The sequence below is a fragment of the Homo sapiens genome, chromosome 3 (assembly GCF_000001405.40).
Source record: "Homo sapiens chromosome 3, GRCh38.p14 Primary Assembly".
Taxonomy (NCBI): domain Eukaryota; kingdom Metazoa; phylum Chordata; class Mammalia; order Primates; family Hominidae; genus Homo; species Homo sapiens.
This window is the reverse complement of record NC_000003.12, coordinates 9,079,188-9,103,769: the sequence shown is the minus strand read 5'-3', so window position 1 is coordinate 9,103,769 and position 24,582 is coordinate 9,079,188. Positions and strand designations below refer to the sequence as shown.

The 24,582-nt window shown below is 44.8% G+C and overlaps 1 protein-coding gene across 14 annotated transcripts in view; it reads left to right on the top strand.

The window, feature by feature from the left end:
- The window catches only part of SRGAP3 (SLIT-ROBO Rho GTPase activating protein 3), a 382,437-nt gene that overhangs the window by 259,258 nt on the left and 98,597 nt on the right, over positions 1-24,582 (top strand). For 11 of the 14 annotated variants that reach the window (XM_024453843.2, XM_047449336.1, NM_001033117.3 and 8 more), the window contains one exon: positions 23,683-23,745. The exons of the other annotated variants lie outside the window; for them this stretch is intronic. In XM_024453843.2, the coding sequence (XP_024309611.1) occupies positions 23,683-23,745 (63 nt within the window). The remainder of the gene's footprint in view (positions 1-23,682; positions 23,746-24,582) is intronic. 14 annotated transcript variants of the gene reach the window in all.

Genomic DNA, 24,582 nt, shown 5'->3' with positions numbered 1-24,582 from the left:
AACTCACTTTTGTGAATTTCAGTTTCCTTGTCTGTAAAATGGGTAAGTTATTTAGCCTCTGTGAAACTCATCCTCTTTGTCTATCCTGCAGGGTTAAGATCAGCTACTTCCCAGGAGGGTGAGCGTTAAACAAATGGTGTGCGGGGAGAGTGGCATTATTGCAAAGTGGTTTGGGATGTGGCCTCTGGGTCCAGAATTCTTAAATTCTTGGGTTCATAATCCTGGTTCCATGATTTATTAGCTGTGTATCTTCGGGCTTGTTACTTCAATGCTCTGTGCCTCAGTTTCCTCATTTGTGAAATGGTGATGGAGATAAATACCCATGGGCAGATGGAAGGATTAACAGGCTTGTTGTTCCTGTGTACAGCATGGAGAGCATCACTTGGCACTTAGTAGGTGCTCATGAAAGCTGACTATTATTATGCGAATTTAAGAGACTATTATTACCAAAAGAATCTAGCTCATCTCTTCTTGCCAGGTGCCAGTTTCAGGGGTTTGGTGATCTGAGATTGCTAGAAGCACAAAGAAGGGGACAAGTTGATTGAAAATATAATCATCTCTCCATGGTCTGTGTTTGGATTGTCCACTTTGAGGATTACTTCTATAGCAAAAGTGTAATCGCAGGCTAATTTTCTCCTGCCACACAATATGCTTCTGGTCTCCTTCTGGGGTTGTGTTTATGAAATGTGGGCTAAGTTTCATATTGCATAAGCAAACACAATTAGGAAGGTAAATACGGTGCAAAGAAAAAAAAATTACACAGTGCTTTGCAAAGCCAAACTGAAGTGATCCAGACGTCTGCAAGTTTGGACTGTTGGTCCCATTCCCAGCCCCCGCCTGCTGCTGCTGTCACATCTTTTTTCCTTGGTGGGAGTGACTCACAGAGAAAGGGTCATCAAGGCCTTTAGGAAATGAAGGGTCTTTTTTCCTGAGCTGAGCCCTGGGACAAGTGAGATAAATCTTTTCAGTTCTCATTTAGGCTGACAGCAGCCTGACTTGTGATGGAGGTTAACAGGGTGGAAAATAATGAAAAAAATGTCTACAGCTGAGCTCCTGGCTGCCTTGTTACCAGGCCTGTGCCTGTGGAACAAAGGAAACAACCCAGCCCACAGGGGCTTTGGAGAGAGGCGCGGACGGAGCCTGGCTGGCTGACTTTGCACAGCACGGCCCCTTTGTGTTGCATCAGTTACACCTAATTTCGGAATGGAGGCCGGCACTCTTTACATAATAATAGTTCCCGCAGACCTCAAAGCAACTATGGAGGCTGCTCTCTGGTCAGACTGGGGATCCTCACTCACCTCATTTTACAGGTGAGGAAGTAAAGCGTTGGGAGGCTGCAAGGAGAACCCAGACTTGGTTGCTTTGGGCCCCTTGTCATTACCAGCAGGAGGCGGAGTGGCTGGGCTTTTGGAGTTTGTCTCAGAACTGCCTATCACTGCACCCTGGGCAAGTCTCTCTGAGTCTCAGTTTTGTCATCTGGGAAATGGAGCTGGTAACAATGCCAACTTCACAGGGGGCCGCTTTAATATGCAGAGGTGAGCCAAGTGTCCAGCCCAGGCCTGGTATCCAGTAGGTGCTTATTAAATGGTAGCTTGCCAGTGATCCCTAAGAATAGAAACCACTCCCCATGTCTGAGCTGGGGTCCTAGGGCTCTACCAAGCCACAGTCTGGCAGTGAGGCTGCGGGAGATGGGAGCGGCTTCTAGGCCAGGTGTCTGTCCTGTGCCTATCTTCTGGCTTGGGCCTGGGCAGCTGCCCTGCCTGCCAGCTTCTCACTGATGCGGGAGGTGGTTTGACTTAATAACTTACCTTTTCATGATTCTCCATTTCCCCTTTTGCAGTGGAGTCTGTTCTTATGACTAGAGGAGCACTTCAAATTCCAGAAGCCCCTGCACGTGGCCCTTGCTTTAAGTGTGAGATGTGGATCAGCCCTAGCAAAATTAAACTGAATGAGATCCAGGAGGCCATCGTTAGTGATCAGGACTCTTATGGTGGCAGACAGCAGAAATGCAGCTTGCCCCTCTTTAAGAGAAAAAGGGACCTTACTAGTTATAAGCCTGGCTTCGGGCATGCGGGGCTTCAGAGGAACAAAGGATGTTACTAGAACTCTGTCTTTCTGCAACTCTTTCGGCAACTCTGCTCCAGTTTTCTCTGTTTCCCGTTTTTTGTGGGGAGGCGAGGGGCTCTTTTACAGTCAGCCCCACCCGCTGGCCGTGTGATAACCAGAGGGCCCCTGGCATCTCCAGACCTACATCCTCTCTGCTTCAAGTCCCTTTTCCCAGAATGGGATATTTTGGTCTGTGATTGGTCCAGCACGGGTCACGTGAGCACACCGGGTGCTGCGTCTGTGGCTGGGGCGCTGCAGGGCTCTGCCTCGCCAGGCCGGGACACATACCCATCCCTGAAGCCAGATGCACACTCAGTTCCACCTGACCCATGGGACTGAGAATGGGTGAGGGGTGGTTCCCCAAGAAAAGTAGGGGTGCCTTTACAAGAAGAAGGGAGAAATAAAACAGGAGATGGCCACTGGACTCTCTTTTCCAGCCCTTTTATCATCCTCTACAGCAGCTGTACGCCTCTGCTAGATGTCCCTCAATAAAGAACGCTCCTTACCTCTCAGGATAGCTCATTCCATGTGGGAACATCCGTGATCAATAGAAAATTCTCCCGAATGCCGAAATGGAATCTTGTAGTGTTTTCACTCACAGGTCCTGATCATCCCTAGAGGGCCAAACAGATCAAACCTGTCACATGGAAACCTGTCAGTTGCTTGAAGGCAGAAATCGTGACCATCCACTGGTCCTTCCTGCCTATGGGCAGATGTCCCAGGTTCCTTCCATCGTCCTCCTGGAATTTGGCTTTGTGTTTCTGTCCCCATATCAGTCGCCCTGCCTGGGTCATGCTTCAGGTCTTCTCTGACCTACAGAAGTTACTATTCAGAACCAGTCGGAATACTCTAGGAAGGTCTGAGCAGCTCAGGGCAGAGCAGGGCTGTCCAGACACTTTATTTCTCATAAGACCCGTGATGGTGTTTGCCGCTTTGATGATTGTTTTACCACATGATTGACACAGTGAACTCTCAGTCAGCAAAAAGTCCCTTGTATTTTTGTACCAATTGTTTTTTAATGCAGCCTTTGACTTCTGCTTTTGTGTTTCTTCATATTTACCCTTCTAAAACTTCATTTTGTTAGATTCTGGTCAAATGGGATCGGTGTCCTTATTTGAGTGATTTTTCAAGCAGCAGGAGGGTAACTGCCAAGAGGTCCTAATTCCTCCTCTGTGGGAAAAGGCTGTTTTGTAACTTCTCCATGTCTTCCTCCTCGGTGTCACCTTCTGTGTGTCAATTCTTTGGCCTCCTGTTTGCTTCTTCTCTGTCTTCTTAGTGAGAGGTGGAAAGTGGGGCAAAGAGTTGAGAATAAATTCACAGTGGAAGTGCCCCTGGAGTTGGGTGTTGACGGATGAATAAGAGCCTGCTGAATGGGGAAAGGAGGTTGGGAGTTCAGGGTCTGGAGAAAGGTAAGAGCCAGTGGGTAGAGTTTATGGTGATGGAGGTCGAAGGAAAAAACTCAGAACAGAGGCTGAAAAATGGCAGTGCACAACTGAGTTTGGCTCTGACGTATAATCTTCTTGGCCCTTACTATGTTAAGAAAGATTAAGTTGACATTTAAACATTTAAAGATTTCTCCCAAAATCACGATTTTGTGTTTCTCTTGCAAAATCAGAAGCTTTGACTATACCAGCCCCACATGGACTCACACGTGGCATCAGCTAGCGGTAGCTGAGTGGCTGCCAGCCCCGTCAGCCTAGGCACGCTGTCTCTGCCACTCCACTGACCCTGCTGGCGTATTTTACCTTACTTGGCTCCTTGATTTTGCCTCTCTGGCCCTTTGTGCATTTGAGTATTTGGCCTTGTCTTTAAACATTACCTCACTGCGGTTCTTAAAATCTAGCATGCATCAGGATCACCTGGAGGCTTTATTAAATGCAGACTGCTGGGCCCCAGCCCCACAGTTTCCGATTCAGTAGGTTTAAGGTGGGGCCTGAGAACCTGCATTTCTAGCATATTCCCAGGTGATACTCATGCTTCTGGTCTGGGGACCATACATGGAGAATGACTCCTAGTCCAACCTCCTCATTTCACAGATGAGGAAACTGAGGCTCATGTTTGGCAAATGCAGAGTCTGGCTCCAAACTCAGGTTTTCACCTCCAGCTCCAGGACTAAAGCCACTATCCCATGTGCTGCACCAGGTGGGAGGGTCAGTCTGCATCCCACTTGCTCTCCTGCTCCCCGCTAACCGTTTCTGAAACTGGGTATTGAAGCCCATTCCATTTCCAGCCTCATTCTGTTTTCTTCAGCTTCCTTAACAATAGCCATCCATTATTCTATGCTCTGATGCCTGTGGAATTTAATTACTTGCCCCGGCCGTGATGTGAATTTGATGGTTGGAAGCTGTGGTGTTGGGAGGAAGCACTAATGAGGAAAGACTCTTTGCAGAGAAGCGAGGCCATGTGGGGGGCTTGTGTTTGAAAGCAGCCATTCACTGTGTGGCAACAAGGACTTGGTCTTGAGTGAGTTTTCTCGTTCCCGCCTCGAAGATGTCCATCGCATTTTATAAATAAATCAGGGCTTTTTGTGTTCAATAATTGCCTTGCTTTGTAACCGAGATCAAAAGCACCCACTGGCCTTGGATTCAAAGCCAAGTTTATTTTTTATTTTTTGGTTGCATGAGAGAGTGGAGTGAGTGTTTGCATGCTGGAGGGTCCAGCTATGAGGCCTGCATGGGGAAGGAGGAGGGAGAGAGCAGAGTGGGCACCCTGCCAAGGGATGAGGCGCCTTCAGCCAATCTCCACCGTCTCCCAGGGAGATGAAGTCGCGAACGGTCACTCTGCCAGTAGAGCCTGCTAAGCCGGTCATCATCAGGCACTCCCAACTCATTTAATAAACATATATTAGCACTAGCATGACAGTAGGTAAACAATAATTATAGATAACAAACAGTGAGCAAACGCCTGCAGTGTGCCAGGCTCTGGGCTAAGCATTCTATACACATTTAACTCTTCAAACCTAAGATGAAGATGCTGCCATTATCCCATTTTACAGATGAGGAAACTGATGCCAAGAAAGGTGAGGTTAGGGTTTGAATCCAGATGTGTCCAATCCCAGAGCCCATACTCAGTGGTAAAGGCAGGTGCCAAAGAAGATAGAGTCAGGTGCAGTGGCTCACACCTGTGATCCCAGCACTTTGGGAGGTTGAGGGGGAGGATCGCTTGAGCTCAGATGTTTGAGACCAGCCTGGAAAACAGGGACACCTTGTCTCTACAAAAGGTAAATTATCCAGGCGTGGTGGCATTTGCCTGTGGTCCCAGCTACTCGGGAGGTTGAGGCAGGAGGATCATTTGAGTCCAGGAAGTTGAAGCTGCTGTGAGCTGTGATCACTGCATTGCACTGGGTGACAGAGTGAGACCTTGTCTCAAAAAAATTAATTAAAACAAAGTGAAGTAGTTAGATAAACGACTCAGACACAATGTCCTCCTCTCCCTCAAGGAGCTTCCAGTGCAGTCTGAAAGCAGAGACAGGTGTGAAGCGGTAACTCATTCAGATACAGCAGAGAGGGATGGTTATCACCACAGAAGTTTGTTCAGAGGGAGAACTTCTAACCTGGGAGGGGGAGGTTTGGGTAAGGTTAGAGGTGGGGGAAGCAGCATTTGAAGCGAGCCTCAAATAATTAGGATCTATCACCAGGGTTCCCTGGGAAGCCAGCTCTGAGACTGTATTTCGGTGCAGGGGTGTATCAGGGAGGATACTTGGGATTCCCTCCTGCAGAAAAAAAGGGAGGAAAGTAGGAGTTAGCAAACCGAGAAGTCGGACTGTGGTGCAGTCTTAAGGATGCTGGGGAGCTGGGATGGCCCTTCAGAGTTGTCCTGAGCTACAGCGAGGAGGCTGAGCCTTTAAACCCTCCTGTTGGGTAGTCATTGGATGTGGGCTCCCTCTAAAAGAGGCTGTGGGCTTGAGCAGATGATGCCTGTGCAGCCAAGGCAGTTCCAAAGCAGCTGACATCTGAGGGAGTCCATTGGCAGCACTTTCCTGCAGCTGGGGGAATACGTTCCCCAGGCCCGAAGGGGATCTGAGTGGTGCGTCACAGCGTCCACAACAGATGTGCAGAGATTTGGGGAAGGTGGGAGACGGAATCCACACCAAAGCAGAGGCCAGTGGGAGGAAAGTCTGGGTCCTGGATCACGAAGAGGTGGGTAGTCTAGTGCAGTGGCCAAGGCTGGGGCCGGACTCTGATTTCATCTCTGTTTTGCCACTTTCCTGCTGTGTGAGCTCCACCTAATCCCTTAAACTCTCTCAGTTTTGTCATTTTCAAAGTGGAGCTAATAATAGCCTCCATCAAAAGGTTGTTGTAAGGACTAAAAAATGATATGAAATGTCTACCTGGTACACAATAAACAATCTATAAATAATATTATAGCGATTAGGCCAGGCATGGTGGCTCACATCTGTAACCCCAGAGCTTTGGGAGGCCAAGGTGGAAGGATTGCTTGAGGCCAGGAGCTTGAGACCAGCTTGGGCAGCATAGCAATACCGCATCTCTACAGAAAAATTAAAAATTAGCCAGGTGTGGTGGTTCATGCCTGTAGTCCAAGCTACTTGCAAGGCTGAGGCTGGAGGATTGCTTAAGCCTGGGATTTTGGGGCTGCAGTGCGCCAAGATTGTACCACTGTACTCCAGCCTGGACAATAGAGAGAGACCCTGTCTCTAATATATATATATGTGTGTGTATGTGTATATATATATATATATATATATATATATATATATATATATATACAAAATAATGTAAAAAATATATAATTAGCTATTATATATAATATATAATAATATATTATATATTAGCTATTATTAGGATGATTATTTGGACTTTGAGAAGAAATTTAATGAGAATGAGATTGGAGATGGGATGAAGGAAGAATTTTTTCAGGGCATACAGGTTAAACAAAGGATCAGAAATAAGAAAATATGCTCAGGAACCACTCACTGATTAGTTCTAAATGATGGTGGTCTTGTCTCTTCTTTTATAACCTCTAATTTCTTTTTCTTGCCTTATTGTCTTGGCTAGGACCTTCATCCAGTGCCGTGTGGAGGGAAGTGGCACCCTTGACTCTTAAAAGGCATGCTTCTGATTTTTCATCATTTAAGACAAAAACTCTTAGCAAATTAGGAATAAATAGGAACTCCGCCTGATAAAAGGTATTATCAAAGCCAAGAGCAAGTCACACTTGCTGCTGAAGAGAGTTCAGCAAGATGGCTGCTTAAAGATTAATATACAGAAGTTAATAATGCTTCTGTGTGCCAGCCACATCCAATTAGAAAATGTCATTGAAATGCATACATTAGAAAACGAGAATAATTGAAAATTGATGCCATTGAGGCTACAAATTAGCTGCATCCCAGAAGTTTTGATAAGTGATGCTGTCATTGTCATTCATATATAAATATTTCATAATTTTCATTATGATTTCTTTGACTACAAATTATTCAGAATTAGGTTTGGGTTTTTAAAAAAATAATTTCAAAGGTTTTTTTCTAAAGCCTTCTTATTTTTAGTTTCTGAATTTATTGGATCATAATAAGAAAATTAAGACAATAAAGATTTATTTTTGTTTTTTGTGTTTTGTTTTGTTTGTTTGTTTTTTTGAGATGGGTTTCACTCTGTTGCCCAGGCTGGAGTGCAGTGGTGTGATCATAGCTCACTGCAGCCTCGAACTCCTGGGCTCAAGAAATCCTCTTGCCTTAGCCTGCTGAGTAGCTGGGACTGCAGGAGTATGCCACCACACCCTGCAATTTTTTTTTTCCAGTTTTTGTACAGACAGGGTCTCACTTTGTTGCCCAGGCTGGTTTTGAACTCCTGGCCTCAAGCAATCCTCCCATCTCAGCCTCCCAAAGTGCTGGAATTATAGGCATGAGCCACTGTACCTCGCAAGGTTATACATTTTTTGGTATTTGTTGGAGGATTGGCCTTATCAGATATCAAGGCTTCCTCTGGAGTGATAGTCAGACATTACTAGAGCAGGGCTAGACAAACTGATCAATTGGACAGAAGAGAGCCCAGAAAGAGAGCCCTCCATAAATGGAAACTTGGTAAACGACAGTGGTGCATTACAGATCAAAGGGAAAAGGATGACTACTTAGTAAATGGGGCTGATTCAACTGATTGTCCTTTTCTTATTATTTGTAAGAGCTAATTTTATATATACATAAACATATACTTTCCTCATATGGAAAAATATAAGGCCTTTACCTTAGTTTACAGAAATTTATTCTGGAAAGCTTAAGGTGCTAAAGGTAAAAAGCAACACTTCAAGACTTTGGAAAGACAATGTAGATTACATTTAATATTTAAAACCTTGGTGTAGGAAAAGGCTGCTTAAAGAAAACATTAGAAAGCACAAACCATAAAAGAAAATATTGATTAATTTCATATATAAAAATAAAAAATCTTCCATACAACAATAAATAAATAGAAAATATGGCCAAGACAAGGAGAAGATATTTGGCATACACAGAATCAATAAAAGGTTAACACCCAGAATATAAAATCAGCTCTTACAAATTAATAAGAAAAGGAAAAACAACCCAGTAGAAACAGGTAAGTGATAAAAATTGATAAGCCACAGAAAGTGAAATTTAGGCCGGATATGGTCTGGGATTACAGGTGCGGCTCACACCTGTAATCTCAGCACTTCGGGAGGCTGAGGTGGGAGGATTGCTTGAGGCCAGGAGTTGAAGACAAGCCTGGGCAATATAGGGAGACCCCAACTCTACAGATAATAATGTTAAAAAAATTAGCCAGGTGTGGTGGTGTGTGCTTGTGGTCTCAGCTACTCAGGAGGCTGAGGTGGGAGGATCTCCTGAGCCCAGGAGGTTGAGGCTGCAGTGAGCTATGATTACACTACTGCACTCCAGCCTGGGCAACCGAGCAAGACCCTGCCTAAGAAAAAAAATTAAAAAGTGAAACTTCAATGGTCAGTGATATAAGAAAAGATGCTCACAATTACTGGTAATCAGGAAAAGGTAAAATAAAACAAAATGAGATACAATCTGACTCCCAGTTGGTAGGTAAAACAATCCTAAGTGCTGGCAAGAATGTGGAGCCTCAGGACCCTCATGCGTTCCCAGGAAACATGTAAATAAGTCCAGCTCCTTGAGAGAACAATCAGGCAGTATCTAGTAACAGTGCTGGAAGGGGTATGGACCTTTTGACCCAACAATTTTACTTCTAAATATAACCCAAAGATATTCTAGCGTATCTGCTCACACACAAAACTGTATGAGAATGTTTGCTGCAGTGGTGTTTCTAATAGAGAAACAGAGAAATAACCTAAATGTCCATCGCTAGGGAAATGGTTAAATAGGTTGTGGGTAGTTGCACCATGGAATCTTATACAATAGTGAAGAGGAGCTAGATCTACAAGTATCAATGTGAATAAAGCTTGAAAACTTAATGTTGGGTGAAAAAAGTAAGGTACAGTATGATATTTTTATAAAACTTGGAACACAGATGAATAGTTTATATGGTTCATATGGTTAGACACCTGGCTGAAATAAAGCTATGCAAATGTAGAATGTGTAAGAATACACAGCAGTGTCAGAATTATAATTGAGGAAAGAGGGAGGAAGGAAGGAGACCAAGAACATTTCTAGTGTATCTATAACATTTTGCTTCCTAAAAATAATTTTGAAGCAAAAATAACAAAATTTTGTTATCTAATTTGAGTGATGTGTTCCTGGGTGTTTGTTATTGTTCGCTCTCCTTTTCTGCATGTTTTAGATGTTGGAAAATGGAAATTAAAGGTAAAAATAAGGAAAGTCAGGTTGGAGACAGGTCAAGGAAGCCTTTGGGTGTCAGAGTGAGAAGCTGGGATTTATTTTCTAGACATTAGAGATCCATTGAAGGTTCTTGAATGGGGAGTGAAATGAGCAGAGACAAGTTGAAGGATGATTAATTTGATATGGTATGTTTAATGGCTTTGAAAAGAGATTTTGGATGGACGGTGCATGTTATTATACATATACACTTGTATACATATTAGTGGTGAAAGATAATGGGGACTGGATCAGGGAGATTGATAAAGGAATGGGAAGGAAGGAAAGGAAAGATGGATGAATGGATGAGTGGGTTGATGGATGGATGGATGGATGAATGGATGGATGAGTGGATGAGTGGGTTGATGGGTATATGGATGGATGAATGAACGGATGGATGAGTGGATGAGTGGGTTGATGGGTAGATGGATGGATGAAAGAAAGGATGGATGAATGCATGGGTAGGTTGATGGATAGATGGGTGGATGGATAAATGGATGGGTGGGTGAGTATATGAGTGGATGGGCAAATGGGTGGAGAGGTGGATAGATGGGTGAATACATAGGTAGAGACATTTTTGAAATGCCAATGCAAACCTCATTTACATCCTGTCCACAAATAATTCAAGTGAAACAGAAGATCAGGTTATAAAATGACAAAGAGGTTAAAGTGATGTCTCAAGTCAGTGATTCAGCAGTAATAAGTGATCAATAATGTTTTGAAACCAACAAATAAGCCTAACAACATCCATAGTCATCCTGAAGATAATGTAGAGAGGGAGAAAGCCTCTCAAAACTGAGCAGCTTCAGGTTTTCATAGATACTGGCTTTTCAGGAAGACAGCCCTGTCACTTCCCATGACATGCATGCAGGCTCTCATCTTACCCTCAACCATAGTTCCTGATCTGTGAGTGACTCTTAGAGAGAGAGAGAGAGAGAGAATATGTATATAAAACATCGACATCAGGGACACAATCAAGAAAGATTACTCCTGAGTATGTGAATATGTTCTGGGCCCACAGAGATTCAGCCCAACTTTCCACACCATCCCCAGCTACCTCGACTTGGAAGCCAGGGTGGGACAGGATTGAGTAACAGATGACAGGAGATTCTGCAAAATGGCACGGGGCACTGTATGTTATCTGACATTTATGATGATCTAAAGCAGAGCCTTGTAAATATCAATATGCTTTCTATACTAAGGCAGAAGAGTTTTCATGTTTTAGAATTATTTTTAGATGTTTAGGGAAAGAAGACCTTAAAGGTGCTTAGAGAGCTAACTTTCCCAGTGGAGGCAGCTTGGTTGAGAATATCACATTCACTAGCTCTATGGCCTTGGGCAAATTACTCACCCTTCCTGAGCCTCTGTGTTCTAATCTTCAAAATAGGTTCAACAATAGTGCCTCGAATAAAGGGCTGATCTTAGGCTTACATGAGGTATTGTCTCATAAAGCAGTTAGCATTGTGCTTGGCACGTGCTAAGACATCAAGAAACAATAACTATTATTGTTATTATCCACAATGGTATGTATTATAAGCACATAGTATTAGTAGTAATTGTACTAAGACTTATTATTAATAAGTATTACCATTATTAATAATATTTAGTATTATCCGTAGAGATCCAGAAACTCCTAGCCTGACCATGTCAGGTCACTTTTCATAACCATTCCGAGGTATCCTTGGACTTCCTCAGGCCTGTTACGTAAAGCAGTTCTGAAAGTGAAGCTTTCAGCATAAACAGGGTCCCAAAGTAAGCCTGGGAGTAATTGCAGGGAAAGGAAATGCTGGCCACGGTGCTAGACTCACTGCCTCCGTGCATGCCTGGGCTCCCGGGTGTGCATGAGTGAGGCTCACCACTGCCAAGAACGTCCAGGTGGTTCCAAGGCCTTCCTGCTTCTTTGCAGTCCAATATACCAGCCCTGGCAACAGTAGGAAGACCTAAGGACTCGAATCTGCATTCTTGAAAAATGAGTAGATGACAACATTTGGAGTTCAGCAACAGGAGGCATAAATTAGTGTGGGAAGGGAAAGAGAACAGGGATGAGTTCAGGAGCAGGGAAAGGAAGAAAATGGGAGGCAGAGGGGAAGAATAACAAGGATCAGGATAGAGGGTGGGCAGGAACCCGGCTAAGGAGGATGTTTGAAAGCAGAGGTTGGCGCCGGGATGGAGAGCCGATAGCCCGGTTATTGGCAACCAAAGTCCTGGCTAGGAATGGGAGTGAGCCGTTAACTGTTGGAGCTGCTGTGTTCAGGGGTACGTGGACCTTCCAGCACAGGCTGGAGAAGCCTGATCCTCTGAGACATGCCTTTTAAGCCTTTGTTTTGGAAATAAAAACACAATCACTTTGGGAGATGGCCCGTGCTTACATACATCATGTATTTAAATAGGGAACATCTGTGGGTCTCAAGTTTTGTGATTTGATGAGAAAACAAGCCAGAGTGTGGAGAAGAAGTGGGTAGGATCTGTCGGCATTTAGGACTGAAAGAGACAAAGGATTTTGTTGTTGTTGTTGTTGTTGTTGAGTTGTATTTGTTTCCTGTTGTTGTTTTTGAATCCCAGAATTAGGAAAATCATGAAATGTCCCTAAGAGTAACCCAACATGAGAACATCTACTCAAGCAAAGAGTGAGAAAAGAGAGACAGGGGGCTGGCTGACGCAGGGTTTGATGAGACAGGAGAAGAGAGGCCCAGCACGGATAACTGAGAGTTAACAAAGGCCACCTGTCTTACTCCTGCATTACAATTTTCTAAAAGATTGTTTAGGATGGTGTCATTGGGAGAAATGAAAGGGCGTATGTGTGTGTGTATGTGTGTGTGTGTGAGAGGTCTTGTTCTTAAAACTCAACATTTTAAGATGGTATTTTTTTTTTAGACATAGAGAATGACATTAGCTCTGGAAATGACCCGTCTTTGAGTTATTTTGAGGGAGATAGACACACGCCCTTTAAAAACAGAGCTTTTCAGGCTGGGCATGGTGGCTCATGCCTGTAATCCCAGCTCTTTGGGAGGTTGAGGCGGGTGGATCACCTGAGGTCAGGAGTTCAAGACCAGCCTGGCCAACATGGTGAAAACCTGTCTCTACTAAAAATACAAAAATTAGCTAGGTGTGGTGGTGCATGCCAGTAATCCCAGCTACTTGGGAGGCTGAGGCAGGAGAATCCCTTGAACCCAAGAGATGGAGGTTGCAGTGAGCTGAGATTGCACCACTGCACTCCAGCCTGGGTGACAAAGCAAGACACCATCTCACAAAAACAACAACAAAAGAAATAGAGCTTTTCAAATGTAACTCATAAAGTCTTAGGACCTACTGTGAGGTTTTTGAGAGTTTTCCCTAAAAAGCATGATGATCCCTGCATTGAAAACAAAATCAAATCATACAGAGCAAGATTTTCATGGCAAAGGAAATGATTTAATTCAGAGCTGTGTATGTCAAGAACTTCATCAGCTGATTTCATCTTGACATGAATTAATGTTCACTTGATTTTTTTTTTTTGTGCAAAGAAATAAGGGTTATGGGTGACCATCCTTTACTCCTCTCTAGTTTCCTACTGCTCTGCACAATGCTGAGCTCATCCACAGGCATTTACAGAGCTCCTTTTGTATGCAGGTCTTCGTAATCGGCATTGTGGGAAACTCTTTAAAGCCAGGGATCTGGTCTTTAGGGTGCGTGTGCTCTAATTGTTGGGAAATTAGTCCTTTTGCAGGAACTCTTTGAAAGCTGATGCTTGGTGGAGCGTTTTCAGAAGGCCGTCTCATTCAGTGGTCATTTCGGTATCTACAGACTGACATAAGCATGGATTACGTTAGTATTTTTTCAAATAAGCAAAAATGAAAATGTATGGGATCCTGTAAACTGATGAAGTCCAGAGGTGAATCTTGTTTAGGCACCACTAGATCTAGGGACGGAAAGGCTCTGGCTGTCTGCCGTAGTGGGCCTGGTACTGCAGGCAGTGCAAGACTCCTGAAGACCCTTTTAGCAACCCCCGGGGAGAAATGATCTGAGAGTGTGGTTATGAGAAACGTCCCAAAGAAGATTCTTCATTGGCTTAGCCTGGAACACGTGTTTGTCTCTGATCTGATCACTGAAGGCAAGGAGCTGGAGCCTGGTCAGACCCTGCCCCTGCCTGATGATCTTGTGTGGCCAGGCAAACAGGAGCCTGTTCCACCAACATCTCATCTTCTGTTAGTAGAAGGAGGAAGGGAGAAGCAAGACATGACCATGTCTGGTTTATTCCTAGCAGAGCAGGTGTAGCTAAAGAGGATGAGATCTGCTTGTAAGTTGGGGCAAGGCCCAGAGATGCAGATTTCTGCACAGGTGATAAGAAAGTGCATTGGACAGGTAGGTGGTGTCTGGAGGGCAGGGCCTCCTTTGTACTTTCCTTGTGGTCTGGACTCATCTCCATTACAGCATTGTGATGACTTTTTTTCACTGTGTGTCTGCATCTTGAACTAGGTCCTAAGGAAGCAGATTATAGTAAGTTGCTATGAGTGCCAACTTTGGAGTCAGACCAATCAAAAAGATGAATCTTGGCTCTGCCACTTTCTAGCTGTGCAACCTTGGGGAAGTTGCTCAGCCATTCTGAGCCTCCAGCCCCCCCCCCCCCCCCGCCCACCCCACTTATCTGTCAAGTGGGAATACTTATAGCAGTTCCTGTAAATATTTAAATTAGATAACACATGGGAGTGACTTTGGATAGTATTCAACAAATGGGGCCAGGCACCGTGACTCATACCTGTAATCCCAGCACTTTGGGAGGCTTGAGAGCAGGGACCGTGTCTCATTCAGCTTTGTGTCGTTAGTGCCTAGTTTAGGCTGGTATATACTGGGTAGTCAATAAACACCCGTGTAAATGGAATCAAAGCTAGTGAAACATGGACCACAGAGGGATAAGAGGCCACCCCTTTCCTGAGAGACCTCACCAGTGTCTGGTCATAAACTAAAATACATCTGTGGGCTGTACGGAGGACATGGCTGGGTGGAGGGAGAAGCTGGGCACTGTGGTCACCTGGACCAGCAGTAGCACAAGCCCGTACCGAAGGGGCCACCGTACTTGAAACAGGGGCTCGGCATTGCTGGATCTTCTAGAATTACCAGAGACGCTGAAAATCAGGACTTGTGCAGGAAATTTCCTGAGTTTTCAACACTGGGAAAGCATCCAGATGCTCTGAAAGCACTGAATGGCCAAACAAAACATGTCTGCAGGCCAGAGAAGCTGCCACTTGGAAGCCTTGTTCCAAGGTACTATTTCTCAATTGGGCAGGAGAGGGGGAGTTTTATCCCCCAGGGAACACCTGGCAATGTCTGGAGGTAATTTTGGTTGTCACACTGGGGGTTGGGGGTAGGGAATGCTACTGGCCTCTCACGGGTGGAGGCCAGTGATGCTCCTAAACATCCTATACACAGGACAGAGAATGCCTGGCCCTAAGGGAGCTGAACTGGCTTTAGCTACAGGCAAAGAGGCAAAGGAACCAGGCAGGGCTGGGGTTCCCTGCATTCATGATGGCTGGCTCTTGAGATTGGTCAGCCTCATTTTACTGGCTTATTTGAGCGTGAAAGACAGGGCTGTGCTCCGTCAATCTGGAGGAGCCATAGCTGCCATGGCTGAGCCCTCCTTGGCCCCATGTCACCGTTTTCCACTGTCCACACACTCCCTGTGCATGAAGGAAGCAGCCTGCCACCCTGACCCCTGCAGGCATGAAAGTAGTGTGGAAAATGTGGGCAGTGAGAGCGAATACATTATCACTTAGGTTCCTAAGGGCTGGGTATGGTGTCGCTGGAGATCACAGGGTTTGGGTTTCCTGTTCCTGGTGAAAAGTTTGGTTTGAGTTCCTCATTCAGTAGTTTCTGGAACCATAGTTGAGAATATTTCCCTTCCCAATCAACCCCAGCCAAAAATAGAAAGAACGCCTTTGAGTCTTGTGCAATTGAGTATTTGCTGAGCATTTACTCTGTGGCCAGTCCAGGGCTTGATACTGGGGAGTTGGTGAGCAGAGAGGCCTGGGCTGGTTCCCTCTGGCGGCTTACAGTCCTGGGGAAGAGATACAAGAACCCGATCTCCAGCTCCTCCCATTCATCCCACCCTCCATTCACTGGTGTCTTCACCTTCCTGAAGCGTAGCCCTGGTCATCTTAAACTTCTGCTCAACAACCCTCAGTAGTTCCCAGTCCTGCTCTGAAGGAAGCCTGTACTCTATCCGCCTCTGTGATCTGACCCAACCTCTGTCTCAGGCTTATCTCCTGCTCACCTGTGGCCGAGCTTCTCTCTTCATGAACCAGTCTTTTCACCATCCCCAGTCTCCGTGCCTCCTGCCTAGAAGGCTGTCTCCAGCCATTCATGCAAGCTAAGAAGGCCTTGGAAGTATCCCCTTAATCCTCTTCATCACTTCATCTCACATCACACCATCCTTTACTCTTGTATGGCCCTTTCCGCCTCCTGCCTTAGAATTGTGTTCTTGACTCTACCCCAGCAAACTGGGAGATTCTTAAGGGAAAAGTTACTAAAAAATTTGATTTTATATTCCCTTCTCTGGGCAACTTCCTAGCCTTGTCCTTGGCATCTCGTGGGTGTTGATTCAGCCTGTACTGCTATTTCCCCGGGACTTCATCTGTGCCTCATATGGTGCTAGGTGCTGCCATGTGTGTTATCTCTTTTCATGCTCACAGGGACTCCATGAGACCCATGACATCATCTCACTTTTACAGATAAGGAAACTAAGTCTTAGAGGAACTGTCACTTCATTCGTTCATAGATTCATTCAGCAAACACATATATATACACACACACATATAAATATATATACACACATATATACACATATACATATAATGTGTATTTTATATGTATATGTATGTTACATATGCATACATAATATACGTATATGTATATTTACTCTTGTATGGCCCTTTCCGCCTCCTGCCTTAGAATTGTGTTCTTGACTCTACCCCAGCAAACTGGGAGATTCTTAAGGGAAGAGTTACTAAAAAATTCAATTTTATATTCCCTTCTCTGGGCAACTTCCTAGCCTTGTCCATAATATACATATGTGTATAGTATGTATACATATGTACTATACCTATATGTATATGTATATTATATGTATATGTAATACATATATACATATAAAATACATATTATATGTATATGTAATACATATATACATATAAAATACATATTATATGTATATGTGTAGATGTGTGTGTATATATGTATACATATATAATATACAGATACATATAATATGTATTTCATATATGTATATGTGGGTGTATATATGTGTATATTTATGTAGATATGTGTGTACCTATATATATACACACACACATATACACACCCACATATATACACACATACGTATATATGGTTTTTTTTTTTTTTTTTTTTTGAAACAGTCTCATTCTGTCACCCAGGCTGGAATGCAGTGGCACAATCTCAGCTCCCTGCAACCCCTACCTACCAGGCTTAAATGATCTTCCCAACTCAGCCTCCCTTGGGACTACAGGTGTGTGCCACCACACTTGGCTAATTTTTTGTATGTTTGATAGAGACAGGGTTTCACCATGTTGCCCAGGCTGGTCTCGAATCCTGGGCTCAGGTCATCTGCCTGCCTCAGTCTCTCAAAGTGCTGGGATTACAGGTGCGAGCCACCATGCCTGGCCAAGCAAACATATTTAATGAGCACGTACTCTGTGGCAGACTCTGTTGCATTGCAGAAATGCAGGAATAGGGAAATAAGATATTGCAGATTGGGTCCCCCAGGAAGCAGACCCTGGGACATCTGAATTTAGCTTCTAGGGGAACGATGAAGGAGTGTTCTCTGGATCAGCCACTTGGGAAGGCAGGTGAGGCAGCAGGGTAAGGTCGAGCTGTGATGCAGGCTGCCTTACTAGAAGTCCTAGCCAGCCTGGTGGGGAGCTTTTTTAAAATTTTTATTTTCAGTTCAGAGGTACATGTACAGGATGTACAGGTTTGTTACATAGGTAAACGTGTGTCATGGGAGTTTGTTATACCAATTATTTTATCATCTAGGTTTTTAGCCTTGTATCCATTAGTTATATTTCCTGATCCTCTCCCTCCTCCCACCATCCATCCTCCGATAGGCCCCAGTGTGTGTTTTTCCCTGTATGTATCAATGTGTTTTCATTATTTAGCTCCCACTTATAAGTAAGAATATGTGGTATTTGGTTTTCTGTTACTGTGTTAGTTTGCTAAGTATAATGGCTTCCAGCTTCATTCATATCTGTAAAGGACATGATTTCATTCTTTTTTATGGCTGCATAGTATTCCATGGTATATATGTACCATATTTTCTTTTTCTAATCTATCATTGATCGGTATTTGGGTTGATTCCAAGTCTTTGCTATTGTGAATAGTGATGCAATGAACATACACATGCATGTGTCTTTATAGTAGAACAATTTATATTTCCTTTGGGTATATACCCAGTAATGGGATTGCTGGGTCAAATGGTATTTTTCACTTTAGATCTTTGAGGAATTGCCACACTGTCTTCCACAATGGTTGAACTAATTTACACTCCCACCAACAGTGTAGAAGCAGGGAGTTCTGAAGATGGAATGACTCCTCAGAGCTGTCTGAGTTGAGACAGGAAGAGGCTGACCTCTCTGCCCCACAATGATCAGTCTTTGGGCAAGGACTACACTGAGAAGGAGGTGTATACTTGGTGTCATTGTGTCCTCTGAGGCCATCCCTGTAGGGTGCTCTCAGCTGAGGGCTGTCTGCCTGAGCATTCATTGCCAGAGAGAAAGTCTCTTTGCCCTCATGGGGCTGACATTGAAGCAAGGGAAGCAAATGATAAATGAATGAACAAATAAACAAACAAGATCATTTACAAGTGCAGAGAAGACATAACAAGGTGCTCATTTTACAGTCAGGAAAGCTAAGATGCCAATAGGTTGAATGACTGAAAGCCCTGCCTCCAAACCAGGTCTCTGTGGCCCCCAAAGTCATCCCCTCTGCTGCCCAACAGGCCTGTGCTAGTCGTGTAGAGTTAGCTTGACTCAAAATTCAAGCTAAGGAACTGGGGCTTGATTCTGTAGACAATGAGGAGGCTTTGGAGGAATAGGATAAGTCCATTTCCAGGAAATTTCACTGGCACAGGCCTGCAGAATGGACTGTAAACTCAAAGACACAAGAGCTAAGGATTTTGGTAAGAGGTGCCTCTTAACAAAGTGAATCTGGGTCTGTGGTGATGATATGCTTGCTACGGGAACTGGTAGTGGAAAATAGGACTGAATCCCTTAGGATGCTTTTGGCTGCAAGTAACAGAAAACCCCAGCTGAAAGTGACTTGATCAATAAAGCTACAGAAGTGGAAGTTCACTGGGAGGCAGGCTGTGGGTCTTCAGTCCAATCAATTGTCCAGAAGGTCATTAATCCTAAGTCTGCTTCCTCTTTTGGTTCTAAGATGCCTGCTGGTAGCAACTGGGCTACATGCATTTCTTTCTTTTTTCTTTTTTTGCCAGCACTCAGTAGAAAAGCTAAAACTTTCCATTTGACCACAGAAGTCTTTCTCTTCCATCCAGTTAAGTCACATACTCACCTCTGGACTAATAACACACACCAGAATCCACCGTCTTGAGTTGGGATGGCCTCCAGCTTCCCTTGAAGAACTCTCCTGGAGGAATGAATTCCTGGGCAAATTCATGGCTCTCTTAGGAAATAGGAAGGGCAAGAATGGATATTGGGAGGTGGGGGAGGCCAGCTTGCCTGCTACTCACAACAAATAATTGGAAAGTTTGCAGGCAGGACCCAGTAACAGATTGGATTGAGAAAGACAGATTAAACAAAGTATCAAATAGAACTCCTAGGTATCCAGTTGACAAGCCCAGGAAGATACTATCGCATTGACCAAAATTGAAGGGATGGGGGAACAGTTCACCTTTGGATAATTTGAGTTTGCGGGGATGAGGGGACATCTAGACCATACTGTTTTGCAGCAGCTAAGGATACAGGTCTTTGAGCTTGGGCTGAAGGTCTCCTGGGCAGGACAGAACCCAGGAGAGAGGCCTGGGAGATGATGACATGGCTTCTGGTCACCAAGAAGTGGGAACTGGAGTCAGGAGCGTGTGAGGGAGCCAGCTGCAGCAGGGACCAAGAAGGGAAGGCTGGAGGGAATTCTGAAGACAGGACTCTTCCCAGCAGAACTGCCTCTAGGATGGGGTCCCTGCCCATATGCACAGTGACAGCACACAAGGATGTTCACAGCATCAATGTTTGAGATAATAAGATGCTGGAGGCAATGTAAATATCCATCCCTAAGGAGCTGGCTAAATTAATTATGATGCCTCTGGTATATGGAATCCCAAGCAGCTGTGCAAAAAAGGGGATATAAAAGTTACATGATGGAAAAATTTCTCAGAGATATCGTTAAGTGAAAAGATGCAAAGGTGTGTATGATATGCTCCCATTTGTGTTAAGAGAGAACATATGATATGCAAATATATGTTTGTTTATTCATAGATTATTTCTGGAAAGTATCAGAAGAAATTTTTTGTAGCAGTTGCCTCTGGACAAGGAGGAGCCTTGGGAGACTTATTCTTTCCATTTTACCTGCTGGCTGTTAGAATTTCTTTAACCATGTGCCTTTATTACCTATGTAAAAAGATCATAAAAATAAACACATAAGAAATAGGGTCTTGGGTGTCAAAGGTGTTGGGGAGTTTGAGGACCAAGAGGAGGCCACTGGAGAGTGTCAGAGAATCTGGAGTCAGCAGTGATGGGGAAACATCAGGGGGAGGGGCCACAGGGGAAACTGAGGCACTGATTGTTCACTTGAGAGAGTCATGGAGAATAGGAAATGGGGATAGCTAATTGGGTTCATAGAGCACCAGTACAGAAATCACAGGACACTGTTGAAGGTCCCCAGTGAGCTCTGCACAGAAGGTTCTCCACACCCTCTCGAAGCTGGAGGGAGGTGTAAATAGGTCTCTGGAATTGCCTCCGAGGTTTCTGCTGTCTGTTAAGGGGTCTGGCACAAGCAGAGACCACCTTCAGAGGGGTGATTCTTGGCAAGCCAGGCCCGGAAGCTGAGAGAAAGGGCTGTGGGGGGTGAGGAGAAGGAGCCTGAGAAGGCATCATTCTGATATTAAGCCTTCATGAGCTACCACTGGATTCAGAGGCTTCTCACCTCTGCAAGGGTGAGAGGAAGGCTGTTCTTTGCCCATTAGCAGCTGGTCCAGCTATGAGGCTGAAGGAACTGGGAGGAAGAGCAGGAGGCTGCAGCTGCTCAGGGAGCCAAGATCACGGCTCCCATTTTCGATACAGAAACTCAACACGATGGTCTTGGCAAACAGGGAGAATGTCTTGGTCCTTTTAGGTGTCTATAACAAAATACCGTAGACTGGGTGACTTATAAACAACAGAAATGTATTTCTCACAGTTCTAGAGGCTGGGAAGTCTAAGAGCAAGACACTGACAGATTTGATGTCTGGTGAGAGCTTGCTTCCTGGTTCATAGAGGGCAATCTCTTGCTGTGTCTTCACATGGTGGAAGGGGCAAGGTAGCTGTCTTGGGTCTCTTTAAGGGCATTGTATTAGTCTGTTCTTACATTGCTGTAAAGGAATACCTGAGGCCGGGTAATTTGTAAAGAAAAGAGGTTTAATTGGCTCACAGTTCTGCAGGCTGTACAGGAAGCATAGCACAGGCATCTGCTCCTGGTGAGATCTCAGGAAGCTTCCAATCATGGTAGAAGGTGAGGGTGGAGCAGGCATTTCACAAGGCAGGAGTGGGAGCAACAGAGAGAGAGTGAGAGGCGCAGGTGCCACACACTTCAGAATACACCAAGGGGATGTCACTGAGCCGTTCACCCCCATGATGCAAACATCTCCTGCCAGGCTCTGCCTCCAATGCTGAGAATTACATTTCAGCATGAGATTTGGCAGGAACAGAGGTTCAAACCATATCAGGCACTAATCCCATTCCTGAGGGCTCCACCCTTATGACCTAATCACCTCCCAAAGACGTCACCTCCTAATACCATCACATTGGGGGTTAGGATTTCAAAATAGGAATTTTGAGGGAGACACAAACATTCAGATTATAGCAGAGAATATTTACCAAAATCATAATCACAATCATAAATAAAATAACAAAGAATTCTAGACTCTTCAAGCTGCATGGAACCTAGAGATAATTTTCTCATTGTTTTCTGAATTGTGTCCTTAAATATCATGAAAGCCACTTCATGGAAATAGGACTGTGGTCAATGAAACTACAGACTATACCTCCTTCTTAGAAAGTCTCCATGCAAGGAAGGACATGAAAGGCACTGAGAAGTCCTGCATTAAGAAAACTTGTCTACCTTTGTTCAATTAGCTTTTTCTCAAATGCATGTAGTCTTAGAAGCCCCTGCTCCCCCTTTTTAGCATAGCATCTAGCAGTGATCTTCAGACCATGCTTTGGAAAGTATTGTTTTAGTTTAAGCTTTTTATTTGATAGGTGAGGTAGCTGAGGCTCAAAGGGGGAAGTGATTCTCCAAGGCCACACAGCCAACAGTGGAAATGAGAAGCTAGATCTTTTGCCTTGTGCCCCAGAGGCCTTTCTGCCAACCTGTACTTCTCCTGTTCCTCATTGGAAGAGACATCTTGAGAGTGTGGACTTGCGACTGTGTCAGGATCTAGGCAATGGTAAGATGAGATTAGGCAGACCAGGGGACCAGCACTGGGGAGGGCTGAGCTGAAATTTGGAGTCAAACTAAGGTTAGGGCATCTGTTGTAACCAGTCCTTGAAAGCTAGGAAGGCGATGTCCAAGTGGGTGCCAGCTGCTGATTCTCAGTCAAGGAAGACAAGCCTTCAGGAAACATCTTCTGGAGCAGTGGTCCCCAACCTTTTTTGCACCAGGGACCAGTTTTGTGGAAGACAATTTTTCCATGGACCAGGGTGGGGCGATGGTTTCGGGATGATTGAAGCACATTATATTTATTGTGTATTTCATTTCTGTATTATTGCATTGTAATATATAATGAAATAATTATGCAACTCACTGTAATGTAGAATCAGTTTGAGCCCTGAGCCCTGAGCTTGTTTTCCTGCAACTACATGGTTTCATCTGGGGGTGATGGGAGACAGTGACAGATCATCCTGCATTAGATTTTCATAAGGAGCGTGCAACCTAGATCCCCCACATGCGCAGTTCACACCAGGGTTCGAGGACGTATGAGAATCTAATGCCACCACTGATCTGACAGGAGCTCAGATGGTAATGCCCGCTCACCCACCGCTCACCTCCTGCTGTGTGGCCTGGTTCTTAGTGGGCCATGGACTGATCTGTGGCCTGGAGGCTGGGGACTCATATTCTGGAGGACCTGAGATTTTTCCTGGAGGACTTGAGAATTATCATTTACTCTCAAGAGGAATTGGGATGCCAAATCATTGTTTCTCAAAGTGTGTTCTATGGAACCCCACTCTGTAGCCATTCATGAGGATTGTGCAAGGAGCTCAGACCCTGGTCATACCAGCTTAGTACACGTAGAATTAAAGAAAAATTCTGTGGGGCTTCCCCACATCTTTAATATGCTACTGTCACTGTGAGTCACTGTGGTAGGGAAATGATGTGTAGGGTTCTCCAACTCATATGATCAGGGAATCCCATCTGCAAGGAACCTCTCTCTGTGGGTTTGTTTCATGGACATAGTTGAGGAATTTATGTTGTTGTAGATCAATGAAATTTATGCTGATTTCTGTACCCCTTCTGACCCCACCCGAAACATTCCTGACCTTTCGCTTTTGAAAAGAGATTGGTAAATGTAGCCAGCAAACTTCTCCCCCGCTGACATTTGTTCTTCCACATTCCAGAGCAAGGAGATTGGCCTGCAGATGCACGAGGAGCTCCTGAAGGTGACCAATGAGCTCTACACAGTAAGTTCTGCCCAGGCTCACTGCTGTTTTGGGATTGGGTCTCTGTCTTCATCACCAGAGCTGGAGGGAAGCAAAACAGAGGTCTGGAATGACCCCAGGCCTTTTTTGCTGCGTTTTATGCTGAGTGACAGTGGGTCATCGTGTCAGGATGTAATGACTCACAGCCCCAGCTTCTGATTCTGTACATCTGGGGCAGGGCCTGGGCTTGTCTAGTTTGTCAAAATTCACGAGAGATTCAAACGACCTGCCGCTGTGGGGCGTGTTACCTGCAAGAACAGAGGGCACAAAGTCAAGGCCGGGGGAGTGTGAGTGTGAAGGCTCCTGAAGGCAGGGATGTGAGTTTTGGAGTGAGGCAGCACAGGCTCCAGCAGAGGCCCCTCCTTACCAACTGTAGGACCATAGGCAGGTGGGCAGTTTGTCTGGGTCTCAGTCTGTGCATCTGCAAAATGGAGCACGGTTCCGAGGATCACGGGAGGTCATGGGGTGAGCCTGCATTGCCATCTCCAAGGCATAGTTTCATAACATCACAGTGTGGTCCACGGCTGACTTTGTTACCTGCTTGGAGTCAACATCTAACTGTGCTTGAGATGAGTTTTAGAATCCAAGAAGGTGAGCAAATGGGGACACAAACACATGAGGTGATGATGCAGGAACTTTCAGACTGTGCTTTGAGGAGCCTACGGCTTCCTCAAGAGGAATGTGGGGACCCCATGGAGAGATATGGGGAGTGGGGTGGGTAGACCCAGCAGGTAGAGCTCCAGGCCCCTCAATCCTACCCAATCAGAACAGAGAAGAATGGTTATGTTTTAAATAGATAGGTGCCCTATATAGCATTTC